This window comes from Homo sapiens, chromosome 4 (genome assembly GCF_000001405.40).
Source record: "Homo sapiens chromosome 4, GRCh38.p14 Primary Assembly".
In the NCBI taxonomy this organism is placed as follows: Eukaryota; Metazoa; Chordata; class Mammalia; order Primates; family Hominidae; genus Homo; species Homo sapiens.
The window spans coordinates 112,227,779-112,241,467 of record NC_000004.12 but is presented as its reverse complement, the minus strand read 5'-3'; the positions used below and the strand labels follow the sequence as shown (position 1 = coordinate 112,241,467).

Below are 13,689 nucleotides of genomic sequence, written 5' to 3'. Positions count from 1 at the left end.
GACACTGGTCTTCCGCCCATGAACTGAGACTTACACGACCAGCTTTCCTGGGTCTCCAGCTTGCAAATAACAGATTGTGGGACTTAATCTCCATAATCATATGAGGCAATTCCTTATGACAGTTCTCATTTTATATCTGTTTATATATATCTACCTACATGTAAACATAGAAATACAGATATCTCCTACTGGTTCCATTTCTCTGGAGAACCCTGACTAATACAGGTAGTAATAATAATCATATTTACTGTTTAATAAGCTTCTTCCTAATAAAGACACGTTTACGAAGAATATGTTCAAAAACTTAATTTTATGCCTTGGCAGAGAGGAGACAAATTCTTCCCTCCAAACATGTCAAAGACATAATGCAAGGGTTTAAAAAACAGTTATTGCCTTTTAAGAGCCTGATTTAAAGGAAACTAATAATGAGAAGGGACCTTAGAGGTCTTTTAGTTCTTTGCTATTTGTCCTCTGCAATTTGTGTGCAGCATCTGAAATCACTGACAACCCTCTTCTTTTGGAAACTGTTGCCACTTATGTATCTATGCCACTGAATCTTCCAATTTTTTATTTCTGTAAGTTACTGAGTGACAGGCATAGCCAGGCATAGCTATGTAATACAGTAACACGCATAGCTATACATTTGAAATATTTTAAACCCATGTATCCAAAAGGCTTATAATCTAACAGGGTAGACACACAGGTAAATTAACAACTACTATGCTGTGAGAGGGGATATGTTCAGATGAGGTGTCATCAAAAATCAGCCTGAGGCCGAGGAATGAGCCAGGCCTCCAAGCAGATAAAAGAGATGTTTCAGGGAGCGGCAGGTACCAAAGGCAAGGGGGAGTGAAAAGAACCTGACATATTCAAGATACTGTATTCATTAATTCTGCCAACAAGTATTTACTGAACATGTAATATGTACTAGGCACTTAACTGAGAGCTGGGTATTCATTCAGTGGTATGGAAAAACAGGCATAAACTCCTTCCTTTTTATTGAGAGCAGCAGACAAGCATTAACCAAATAATCACACTATATCAGTATGACTATAAACTAAGAACATGCACAGAAGAAAAGCAGATGGTTCCATGATGATGTGCAGACTTACCCTCTGGAGGGTAGGAGATGGTTTTGGAAGACTTCTGTAGGAAAGAATTCTTAAGCTGGCATCTACAAGATGAGTGAATAGGAGTCATCTAAGTAAAAAGGAAAGAAATAGATTCAAGGAAAAGTGTGACACACATGAAGCAAAAATAAAAAAATAAAAGGAGAAAGAAGAGGTAGGCAAGGAAAAGATAAACACAGAGCCTTGAAAGCTCCATTAAGATTTCAGTCTTTATCCTACAAGTTTGGTAAGCCACTTCAGAATTTATGTTGTATTTGTGTCACAGATTTGCATTTAAAAGGCAAAAGATCTATTGACTCTGAAGAGAAACCAGAGTATCAGATGTGCATTTAAGATCACTTCGATTCCAGGGTGCAGGATAAATTGGAAAAGGTCAGGAATATATGTGGGTAGACCCACTTGATAGTCTATTCACTCAGTCGACAAATATTTATTGAGCACCTACTATGTGGCAAGCACCGCTGGTACACTGGAGATACAGGAACAAACAAAGTCTCTGACCACATGAAATTTATACTCTATTAAGGGAGAACAGTCAACAGACAAACAAATGCTCGGAGTCTACAAAGTCATGGAGTGGTAAGCGCCATGAAGGAAAACAAAGTAGTGTCAGAGAATGGTGAACGAGGAATACACACAGAATTATTGGAAATCTAGGCAACAAATGACGACAGCCTGGATTAATGTGGCAGCAGCGAGAGAAGTGGGTGGACTGAAAAGTTATTTAAGAGATAAAAAAGACATCATCTGGTCTTGAGGATGGACTGGAAACATGGGATGATGGGGAACAGTGTCAAAGACAACCCCTAGGTTAGCAGCTATATGCATGTCACTCTTTAAGGAGAGTATAGTGTGAGAAGAGTCTAACAGAAGTTTTGAAGGACTCCAAAATGTCATGACTGAGAAGAAAATGAATATGCAGAGGAGAGCAGCAGCAGGAAAGGTGAACATTAGGTTACTTTGAAGACTGAGTGAGAAGTGAGGAAACACTTCTCAAGAAGACATCAAGACTAGGCAAGACGAGACAATTCCTAAGAAACATATTTAAGAGAAAAGATAGGAGATAGGGTTAATAGCTGGAGGGAGACATGGTAGTCAGGGTAACAGCTAGAGGGAGATGTTGGAGTCTACATAAGGTTTCATGTTGCTTTCCTTTTGGTTTTCAGATTAGGGAGACACAAGTTCAAAAGGGCGTATCAGGAGGGTAGAACTACAAATATAGAGGACAGAAGGGTCTGTTTTAAGGCAGAGAGGATATAGATGTTAGAAAGATCTAACATGTAGGGGCCACTCAGAAGGCAGGGACTTGATAACCTGGGTTTAAAGGGTGAGTAACAGGAAAGAACTTGATATGGTTCTTAGTTTCATGGCTTAGGTGACTACAGATACCACTCACAAGGTAGGGAACGAAGTAGTAGAAAAGGCTGGGGCTTAAAGAGGAAAAAGGAGGAAAGGGCTATGAGAAGGAAACAAAGATGAATTCAGCTTTACACAATTAATTTACAGTTATGTTTGACAGATAAGTGGAACTACACAGTAGCAATTAGATATTTCAGAGCTCAGACTGAGATGACTGAACTTATTAGCATATAAGTAGTAGGTGAAGTACCATTACCCAGGAAAAGTACATTAAAGACTAAAAATGTATTAGGGAAAAATGGAATGATATTCAGAACAGAGTCTTAGGAGTCTTTAAGGTTTAACAAAGAATGTTTAAAAAATCCATATCCATTTAAATGCACTACTGTTTTCCTTCCTATCTTCTGAAATTCCAAGAGAAACATCTTACACTTTTATATTTTTTCAAAACTGAAAAACATGCAGAACCAAAATAAATCTTCTAATGCTGACACTATTGATTTCTATATTTTAGCAATATATATTATAATAAATATTTTTAAAATTCTCAAAGGTACTCAATATGATCTCTTTAAAAAAAATAGTGAGTCAATATAAAACTGGTAGGATATGTGTTTAAGTATCTGGGTATGTGGTGTTTTTGCCAAAGTTAGGGAATTATCTTTAGGCCTTAAAAAAATGAAGGATAGGAGAAATTGTAGTTTTGTAGATCCTGCAAGTTCAAATAACTCTTCTGGCTGTTCATTCAACAAATGTAAGATACTGAGAATGGAGAGAGTGATAAAACACAGTCCTTGACCTCCTTGAGGAGCTCTTAGCGTACATCATGGTACATATGGTACCAGGAGTTGGCAACTATGGCCCACTGGCCAAATCTGGCCCTCTGCCTATTTTTGTAAATAAAGTTGCATTGAAATATAGCCACACTCATTTGTTGAAATGCTGTCTATGGCTGCTCTTGCACTAAAACAGGCAAGTTCAGTAGTTGTGACAGACCATACCACCTGCCAACCCTAAAATACATATTATCTGGCCCATTACAGAAAAAGTTTGCCAACCCTTGATATAGAGCAAAAATAAGCCTGTAGAAAATATTATTTCCTCAGGGAGATAATATGGTTTCAGGGGCTTGGAGCGGGTTTCATAGGGAAGGTAAGTAAGGTAAGGTAAAGGTAAGTGAAAGCTCACAAAAAAACTAAAAAAAGAAGGAATATCACAGAGGCCAGGCGCAGTGGCTCACAACTGTAATTCCAACACTTTGGGAGGCTGAGGTATGCAGATCACTTGAGTTCAGGAGTTCGAGACCAGCATGGGCAACATGGTGAAACCCTGCGTGTCTCTACAAAAAATACAAAAATTAGCCAAGCGTGGTGGCCTGCGCCTGTAGTCCCAGCTACTTGGGAGGCTGAGGTAGAATTGCTTGAGCCTGGGAGGTGGAGGTTTTAATAAGCCTAGATCACACCACTGCACTCCAGCCTGGGTGACAGAGTGAGACCTCGTCTCAAAAAAAATAAAAATAAAAAAGAAAATAAATATCACCCACAAAGGCACAGGGTTAGAAAACACTGTATTTGGCCAGGCGCAGTGGCTCACGCCTGTAATCCCATCACTTTAGGAGGCCGAGACGGGGGGATCACGAGGTCAGGAGTTCGAGACCAGCCTGGCCAACATGGCGAAACCCCGTCTCTACTAAAAAATACAAAAATTAGCCAGGTGTGGTGGCACACACCTGTAATCCCAGCTACTCGGGATGCTGAGGCAGGAGAATTGCTTGAACCTGGGAGGCGGAGGTTGCAGTGAGCAAGATCACACCACTGCACTCCAGCTTGGGCAACAGGGCAAGATTCCGTCTTGGGGAAACAAAAAGAAAACACTGTATTTTAGGAAAACAAGAACAAGCACAGTCCATCTGGTATATAGGATATTAAAAGTGGTAAGAGAGAGGATGGGAGAGAATAACACTGGTAAAAACAGGTTAAGGTTACATTGCTTTGTCCAAAGTTTAAACTAGTAGTTGGGAGGATAGTAAGTTATCAAAAAGTTAAAATGCTAAGATTTATGAATGACACGTTTTTTGAAATTAGAATAGCTTTAATGTTATTCTTTTAATGTTTTTCTCACTGATTTGTATCCTGACATTTTTTGACAAAGAGATTATAGAAACCCAAATATAGAACTAAATATCATCCTGAGTATACAAAGGGACAGTATGCCATACATTTGAATGCCATGTAATTCATCATGCTGTCACAGAAGGAAAAAAGACTTTTAAATTTAGGGCCGGGCGCAGTGGCTCGTGCCTGTAATTCTAGCACTTTGGGAAGCCGAGGTGGGCAGATCGTTTCAGGTCAGGAATTCGAGACTAGCCAGGCCAACATGGTGAAATCCTGTCTCTATTAAAAATACAAAAATTAGCCAGGCATGGTGGTGGGTGCCTGTAATCCCAGCTACTTGCGGAGCTGAGGCAAGACAATCACTTGAACTCAGGCGGTGGAGGTTGTAGTGAGCCAGGATTGTGCCAGTGCATTTCAGCCTGGGCAAGAGAGCGAGACTCCTTTTTGGGGGAAAAAAAAAAAAAGACTTAGAAATTTAGCTATGGGAATCAGGGAGCAGATGGAAGTTGCTGAGCAAAGGAAAGAAACAATCCAATGCGGGTTTTAGAAAGCCTAACTCATGATAGGAAGGGAGGGTGGGCTGAAGTATGAGAGCTACAATAGAGAGAGTAGTCTGGAAGCTGCTGACTAAGCAGTTTGAAAGGCAATGTTTATGGCAGAAGACAGGAAGAAAACAGGTTCAGTATGTTTAAGGAGAGACTGAAAATAATATATAGAGATTTAATTGAATATATCCAAGAGTGCCTCTTAGGTAGACAACTGAAAAGATCTACAAGCAGAAGATGAGATTTGGAAGTAGTGGTGGTTGAAATCATAGGAATGGGTAAAATTTCTTCAGGGGCAGGTAATACACATATGAAGGAAATTAAAAAAGAGAAGACAAGAAAATCTCCACATTTAATAGACAGAGTAAGAATAGCTAGGAGAGAAACAGGAAAATAAGATAAAGGTGATATTGTGGAAGTCAAGCGCATAGTTTCAAGAAAAAGACAGCTTAGCACACAGAATAAAGAGTCAAGTTGTTCAGGTATATTCATAAGTTCTTCTGGTGACAACGTTCAAGATACTGCAATGAGAGAGATAGCAACCAAATGTTTACCTATAGAATAAAGTGCCATGAACTATTTGTGGTGGTTAAGGATAAGAACTCTGAATTCAGAGGGACCTGGGTTGCAATCCCAGCTCTGCTATCTTGGGAAAGTTCAACTTTCTAAGTTTCAGTTTTCAACCTATAATATATATAATATATATACTTACTTGCCTCACAGGATTGCGGGGAGGAATAAGTGAGATAATATAAAGTACTTAGAACAGTGCCTGGCACATAGGAAGTAACGGAATGTTGTCAGTTATTATTAAAATCATTTTTACTAGGAATGGAAAAGCAAATCACTGTGAACTATTGCCTGAAAGCAACTTGGCTGCTGGAGCCAAAAAGGCCAACAAATGTTACATATTGATGAGGATACAAAATATGGTTTACCTTTCTATAAAAACTAGTTTATCTTAAGTGGAATCACTATGTGGAATTATACAGTAATATAGAAATAGGAATTAAATACAACACAACAAAACTTAATTGGGTCTTCTATCTGAGAAAGAAAAAACTAAGTCTATACAAAGGCCTGCTCAGAGAAACAGGAGAACTGACCAGCAGATGGAGCCCTGTAGAAAGTGTTGGCAGGCAAAACTCCAGTGAAGAAGTATGACTCATTAGGATGCCTAAGTTTTATTCCTTAAAGATATTTAATTCTCTCTGCTTTAATCACCAAATGACTTCATTAGTAGTAGGGTTTCCAACATACGTCAACACTGATATTGATATTTTGACTGGTGAAACAGATATCCTAGAATATACAATACTAGAATTCCCTAGTATTTTATAAACTGGAAAAAGTGGTAATTCTGGTTTTGAGATTAAAATAGTAAAAAACGAGTGATCTGATTTTCAGATTTCTCAGGGGTATGTCAATCTGCAAGACTCAGAAACCAGGCCTTAGATCATAAGGCTTCCCTGTGAAGTCTAGCTTAAATCAAGCTAAAAAAGTTGAGGACACCCTCTTCTTTTGTGGTCACTACAAAGACATATAGGATCAAATCAAGTTTTTGTGATTACTCCTCAACTTTTTCACCTTTAGAAGAACTACTAACTATCCAGACCTATACTTGAAAGAAAATCAAAACAGCTGATAAAAAAAAAAAAAAACTAAAATAAGAGTTTAACCTTATTGCACAAGTAACTATATCCATCTGTCTCTACATGCTTACTGGAAGCTGCTAAAACAGTATTAAAATTGATGTTAAACAATAAGTTAATCAGAAAATTCAAGTAAGGGAACCGTCAAATCCTGTTTATAGACTTAAAGTAATAGGATCAATATCACCATTATATAATTTTAGATGACAGTGTCCACAACCTATAAACTCTCACTGCCTCCACAGGACTTGTTCAAAGAGCTTTGCCCACAAACAGTAAAAATCCAACCACAAGTTGAGTATACCTAACCCCAAAACCCAAAATCTGAAATGTTCCAAAATCTGAAACTTTTTGAGTGCCAACATGTTACTCAAAGAAAATGTTCATTGGAGAATTCTGGATTTCAGATTTTCAGATACTACACCAGTATATAATGCATATATTCCAAAATCTGAATAAAAATCTGAACTCCAAAGCAAGTATTTCAGATAAGAAATACTCAACCTGCTGGCCGGGCGCGGTGGCTCATGCCTGTAATCCCAGCACTTTGGGAGGCCAAGGCTGGCGAATCATGAGGTCAGGAGATCAAGACCATTCTGGCTAACAGGGTGAAACCCGGTCTCTACTAAAAATACAAAAAAATTAGCCGGGCATGGTGGCGGGCGCCTGCAGTCCCAGCTACTCAGGAGGCTGAGGCAGGAGAATGGCGTGAACCCGGGAGGCGAAGGTTGCAGTGAGCCGAGATCGCGCGCCACTGCACTCCAGCCTGGGCGACAGAGCGAGACTCCGTCTCAAAAAAAAAGAAAGAAATACTCCACCTGCTTATGTTTTTATGGCATATCTACAGACAATTAACACTCACGCTGATTCATGGATTTCCTCCTGCCACCTCCCTGTGCTGCCAAGCTCACGAGCTGAGGGAGTAGAACCTACAATTTTAATGCCGTACTCTACGGAGACCCCATGAAAAAAACAAAACTAAAGTCCACAGACACATCATGTAGTCCAAAGTCAAATATAAAGTTTTTTGCTTATCCATTTAGAATGTAAGTACTGCTCCCTCACCAACCAACTTTCTTGGAGTTAGAATTTAACGCCCTGTAACACAACTACAAATAATAGTAAAAGCCAAAGATTGTGTGGCATCTAGTTATTGGGCAAGCCTACTTAAGCAGCTTGACCTTGTAAGTTTCATTCACACACAAAAATTATAAATACTTAAACCAGATGATCCTGGATGACAAGATAAAACAACTGTCATGTCCCACTCAAGAGTAATAACTCATAAATTAGGGAAATCGAAATATTACACTAGGCACAAACTGCAAATCCTTGCCCTTCCATTCTAGGGATACTTAGTGTAAAACCTTAGCTATTTTGTATCAGAGAGGTGACACAATGCCTAATTAATGAATGAGAATCCTATATTTTATAAGATCTCCATTACCAAAGATTCAAATTATGATCATTTACTGCAATTTATTTATGTTGAACATCTTATTACCCAATAATGTTAGTTAAATGGAACAGATTATGAAAAATTAGCAATCTGTTTCAGAAAGTGCAAAACAGTCTTAGTCCTTACACAAACTGGCTTGGTTCAGATTTTCAATTCTAGGTTTGAATTCCGGAGGGACATTTAATAACAACAAAGCCAACCCCAAAGGAATTTGCTCTAATTTTTTCAATATATATGAAATAAAAAAACACAAAAACGGAATTATGAAATTACTATTCTGTGGATGGTGCATATACAAAACCTAAGCAATATCCCAGGTTTACTCAAGAGAAGTGAAGTTCAGAAGGACTGCAATTTACCTAATGTTACAGGACGTTTGAGTAGCAATCAGGGCAAGGAATTCCTCTCGAAATTTCAAAAACTTAATACGAAAAAATTACACATTGTCCCTGTAGTTATGAGCACCAAGAATCTGAATGCCCATTGGGAACTCTGCAATTCAGCAAGTCTTTGTAGCTACCAGAGTTCATCAGTATCTGGAACCTTATTTTACTCCAGCATCCAAATGACTTCTACTTAAAATCAATCTGAGGCATTAACTCCGGAGCCAGATCCCACCTGCTCTGCCAGGGCTAAAGAGAGGGTCAGATACAGGGATACTAGCTTTGGCGTTAAACCTAAGCTCAGCGCAGGGTGTGTCCAGGTTGCCGTGGAGCCGGTCCTACAGCCCATTAGCGCGAAGCTACCCCTTGTTTCCTGGAGATGATGTCTCCCGTGACTCCTTCCCCGCGTGACAGGGCGCCCTGGCAGGAGGGACACCCCGCCCCCTCTTCTACCTCTTTCCGAGGAGGCCCCAAGACCGGACCCCAGACTGGGCCTCCAAGACGACCACCAGTCTGACGTCTGCTAAGCAGTGAGTGTAGCAGGGCTCTCGACCGCCACCTCCAGCCGCCGGGGGACGGTGAAAGGGATTCCCCGCCGGGGGCCGAAGAGGAGGAGCCACGGGGGCCGGGCCCCTCCCCCAGCGGGCTTACCCTCCGCCGCCGCCTACTCGCTGCAGCCGCCCCGCTTCCTTGCGAAGCAGTCCGAAGCACTGCGTCCAGCAGCAGTTCCCCATCGCATGCCGCCCAGGCGCCGCCGCTCCTCCTCCTCCTCCCGCTCAATGCCCAAACCCAGGCCCGGCAGCTGCATCCGCACGGCACGAGCCGAAATGGGGTTCAAGGACCGAGGGCGGGCCGGCCAGAGCCCGGCGGCGTGAGGGCACGGGGCGACGAAAGACGAGGCGCTAGGGAACAAAGGCAGTGTTTACTCCAGCGGCCGCAGAGCCACCGCTGCGCGAGGGAGGAGCACCGGGCTCAAGGCTCTGGACTCCCTCGCCGTCCGCATGGCCCTTCTCGCCTCAGCTCCTAGCCCAGCGTGAGTGACCGCCTCCAGCTGCCGAAGGAGGCCAGTCCCCGCGAGCCGAGCACCCTGGCCCCGCCCCCAGCGCGCCCAGGCCCCTGCTCGCCGCCAACGCTGCCACACCCCCGGCCTCTCCCGCGCCCCAATTGGGCGCGCTACCTCGGTGCCCCGCCTTCTCTGGCGACCGGCCTGTGCGTCACTTCCGCTCGCTCCTGGTTCAGCCGCCTCTGCCTGCGAGACGGTTCAATTCCTGCGTGCGGACGTTTGTTTTGTTGGACCTTGACCTGACTAGGAAATTTCCCTCTCTCATTGCAGTTTCGGGCATCCTCGTCCGGAGCACGCTGGGCGTGGCATGGCTAAGGCTCAGCCTTCGAACTTTGTATCAAAGGCGTGTGAGGAGCCAGAGTCCCAGGCCGGAAGTCATAAGTGCGAAGGGGCGTTTCTCTGCACGGTGTGCTTAGTTTTTGTTAATACTGCACCATAAGCGGAAAATAGACTCGGGAACTGATTGAGGTTACTTTGAACGCACCAAGATTTTTTTCCGGTCTCTGGTTTGTGTCTTAATTTCCATACTGTTAATGTTTTAGGGAAACGTAATAATGGTGCATTATTGTCCTCGTTTTGTTTGAAAATCAGATCTTCACATAATTTTGGGTTGGGTAGTTGGGGTTCAGAGGAAATTGGCAAGAGGGCTGGGGTTTTTCGGGGACGTCAGCGTTGCCATTCCAAGCATGCTGCCCAGAACTGCTGTAGATGGGAAGAGAAAGCTGCTCTAATGTGTCCGCAGCCCTCTCAAGTGCTACCATATAATTCGCGTCTTGTTTGGCCTCAAGACAGTTGGCCTCACAATAGATATAAGATGTGGTTTAGTAGACACCTCGTCCAGTGGATAGGAGGATGCTCTCATGGACTGGACACATCAAGTTTTTAGCCTGTTTAATTAAACCTAGAAAAATTGTTACATTTTAGAAAGTTTTTATTGATGATAAAATGTTCTCTGAACTCATTTTCTTGCTTCTTTAAATACGTATCTGGTTTCAATCTTAGCACTGCTACTTACTAATGTTTATTTTATTTGGGTTTTAGTTGTTTTGTAATCAGAAGCATAGGATAACATTTGTCCCAATGGTTTGCTTTCAGTGAATGTTGGGATGACCGAATGACTTCCTAGTGAAAGCATTTTCTTTTCTCCTTCCAACCCCTGAAATTAGACAAATGTATTAATGAAATAATCATTAAAATTCAACTATAAATGTTTACAGAAACTGGTACATCTATCCTATGGAATATTTAGTAACAAATAGGAACACAGTATTGATGAACACACCCTGAAATGAATCTGTAGGAAATTATGGTTAAAGAAAAAGCCAATCTCAAATGCTTATATACTGTGTAATTCCATTATGTAACATCTCAGAATTGATAAATTTATGTAAGTGGACAACAGAATAATTGATTGCCATGGGTCAGGGAATGGAAATCCTGCATCTTGTCTATATTAATGTCAGTATTCTGGTTGTGATATTGCAATAGTTTTGTAACATGTCACCACTGGGGGAAACTAGATTAAAGATATACACGGTCATCTGTATATTATTTCTTAAAACTGCATGTGACACAATTGTCTCAATATAAAAAGTTTGATTAAAAAAATGCAGCTATAGACTTGACAGCACTTCCTATAGACATTCTATAAACCGTTATTAAAACTGAATCTCACTTAAAAATAATTTTTTTATAGTAAATCTGTTCTCTCAGTTAAGGATATGAATGATCCTCAGAAGCAATACAAATGAATAAGACATTTAAAAACTTCACTAAGCAAAATAATGCAAATTAAAATGCATGTTTTAGTCATTTGTATTGATTCACTTGTCAAGTTAACAAAGCTTTACAGTTAGAAATATTCAGTATTTGCAAGGATACAATGAAATGGTACTATTCTAAACTGCTGCAGATAATGAAACTCATTCTGAGAAATTATTTGGAAATACCAAGAGCCAGAAACAAACTAAATGCTCAAAAATTGAAGGATGATTAAATTTGCTGGTGTATTCTTGTTATATAGACATAATAAATATATTTTTTAAAACAATATGGAAAAATGCTTGCTGAATAATGTGTGAAAAATCAGGATAGAAAATTATATGTATGTTCCAAATGATGTTTAAAACAAAACATATACATTCTTACATTCTTTCTTACACGTGTTTCTTGAAAATAAAGGCTGGATGGTAAATATCAAAATGCTAACAGTAATTATTTCAAGACTGTGAATGTTGGGAGCTTTATTTCTCTTCTCTATTTTCTCAATTTTGACAATTATTATTTAATACTTCTGTAATCAGAAAAAAATGTTTAAATCTGACCCTTCAGTAGAAAAGGTTGATAACCAGTTCAATTAGAGTTTGATCACAAATGCAAGCATTTAGAAATGCAGAATTTTGCCCCGCAGTTCAGCTAAAACCAGGTTCTTGTCACATGACAAGGAAAACTTAGACACGTGGACACATTGAAGGGTGAGTAGAGCAGGATTTTATTGGGCAAAAGGAAAAAGAAAAAACTCACCAAAGCGAGATAGAGTCCTGTTATCAGGCCCCCACCTCATAGACTGAATCCCAGGCTACTGCACAGGGACTGAAAAGGCACCTCACAGATTGAATCCCAAGCCACCACATAGGAACTGAAGAGGCCAGCCTCCTTCCCCTGCCCTGGTTCCACCCCATTCCCCCAGTGCGCATATGGGCATGTTCACACAAGGCACTGGGCAGGTTCCCTCATCTGCACAAAAGCATCTGATGTGAACACTTGTGGGGCAGGTGGGAGATTTTTCTGGGGACCCCTTTTTGTCTGCCTAGGCATTTGGCTGTCTCCGAAAGTAATGATAACTTGAATATGGGTAGATTATAATAAATTCAGGGGAGCTACTTAATTTTTTTTCTACAAATGTATTAAATAAATTACCAAGCTAATCTTAGAGGTTATTGGAATTTATCATTGTGCAATTTTTCACCAAATTTGACATCAAGAATCTTCATGGTAAGTTTTAAGACTTTTTAAACATTCAGTTAAGTGATGATCTGCTTTTAGTTAAACAGAATTAGCAGGGAAAAAACCCGTAACTGGAATGGATGTTTGAGAGGCAGATAAACTTCATTTTATGGTTGAGAAAGAGTAGTCTTTGAGGAATTAAATGATTTGCTCAAGGTCATACAATGAATTAAAAGTATAATATGAAGAAATCTCAGGCCTCCTGACAGACTTGTGCCTTCTGCCATGCTTCAGTACTGCTTCCTCGACTCTTACATTTGGACATGGGTATAAAATCAGTAACGACCATAGTCACATGTATTCTGATAAGATTTATAAGTTTAATTCATCATTGCTAGAGAGTTCATTTAGAGCTGGGTGTGGTGGCACGTAACTGTAGTCCCAGCTACTCAGAAGGTGGAGGTAGGAGGATGGTTTGAGCCCAGGAGTTTGCGTTCAGCCTGGGGAACATAGCAAGACCTCATCATTTCAAAAAGTTCATTTATATGACAGTTGGCTACGCAGAATATTTAACTTGTCAGTAAGATACACAAACACTTAGATTATCTACAGTGGGACCAAGCACAGTGGCTTACGCCTGTAATCCCAGAATTTTCGGAGGCTGAGGTGGGCAGATGGCTTGAGTCCAGGAGTTCGAGACCAGCCTTGGCAACATGGCAAGAGCCTGTCTCTACAAAAAATAGGTGTGGCGGCATGTGCCTGTATTCTCAGCTACTCAGGAGGCTGAGGTGGGAGAATTGCTTGAGCTCAGAAAGTCAAGGCTGCAATGAGCCGAGATCTAACCACTGCCCTCCAGCCTGGGTGACAAGCCAGACCTTGTCTCAAAAAAGAAAGACTATCTACAGTGATTACTGTCAGCTTGCTAGAGACATCCCACCTGCTTACAGGTAGCAGAACTTCTCACCTTCTTCCCCATCCTTTTCAAAATTCTCTTGGGTACTAGGCTTAATACCTGGGTGACGAAATAATCTGCACAAC

General features: G+C 40.9%; 1 protein-coding gene and 1 long non-coding RNA gene across 5 annotated transcripts in view, besides 5 other annotated features; one reads left to right on the top strand and one right to left on the bottom strand.

Annotated features, from left to right (window-relative positions):
- AP1AR (adaptor related protein complex 1 associated regulatory protein) overlaps nucleotides 1–9,681 on the bottom strand; it is a 41,324-nt gene extending 31,643 nt beyond the window's left edge. For 3 of the 4 annotated variants that reach the window (NR_136622.2, NM_018569.6, NM_001128426.3), the window contains exon 1: nucleotides 9,294–9,681. Coding sequence is in view for 2 of the 4 variants with exons in the window: in NM_018569.6 (NP_061039.3) it covers nucleotides 9,294–9,376 (83 nt within the window). In the remaining 2 variants the exon portion in view is untranslated. Of the gene's footprint in view, nucleotides 1–9,095; nucleotides 9,193–9,293 lie in introns of those variants that run through there. The other variant, XM_017008380.2, reaches the window with a different exon arrangement.
- Nucleotides 6,304–6,353: a silencer, noted in NCBI's record as "silent region_15636". NCBI's record gives its function as "represses an Ori minimal core promoter by ATAC-STARR-seq in GM12878 lymphoblastoid cells {active_cell/tissue: GM12878}" and the evidence as "EXISTENCE:reporter gene assay evidence [ECO:0000049][PMID:35858748]".
- Nucleotides 8,887–8,936: an enhancer, noted in NCBI's record as "active region_21821". NCBI's record gives its function as "activates an Ori minimal core promoter by ATAC-STARR-seq in GM12878 lymphoblastoid cells {active_cell/tissue: GM12878}" and the evidence as "EXISTENCE:reporter gene assay evidence [ECO:0000049][PMID:35858748]".
- Nucleotides 8,961–9,908: an enhancer, noted in NCBI's record as "NANOG-H3K27ac-H3K4me1 hESC enhancer chr4:113152716-113153663 (GRCh37/hg19 assembly coordinates)". NCBI's record gives its function as "activates a minimal SCP1, AML or CMV promoter by ChIP-STARR-seq in primed H9 embryonic stem cells {active_cell/tissue: H9 hESC(primed)}" and the evidence as "EXISTENCE:reporter gene assay evidence [ECO:0000049][PMID:30033119]".
- Nucleotides 9,147–9,416: a silencer, noted in NCBI's record as "silent region_15635". NCBI's record gives its function as "represses an Ori minimal core promoter by ATAC-STARR-seq in GM12878 lymphoblastoid cells {active_cell/tissue: GM12878}" and the evidence as "EXISTENCE:reporter gene assay evidence [ECO:0000049][PMID:35858748]".
- Nucleotides 9,318–11,907, top strand: AP1AR-DT (AP1AR divergent transcript). Its single transcript, NR_186684.1, has one exon. It is a non-coding gene; the product is annotated as an AP1AR divergent transcript (long non-coding RNA).
- Nucleotides 9,577–9,856: a silencer, noted in NCBI's record as "silent region_15634". NCBI's record gives its function as "represses an Ori minimal core promoter by ATAC-STARR-seq in GM12878 lymphoblastoid cells {active_cell/tissue: GM12878}" and the evidence as "EXISTENCE:reporter gene assay evidence [ECO:0000049][PMID:35858748]".
- Nucleotides 11,908–13,689: the final 1,782 nt, after the last annotated feature.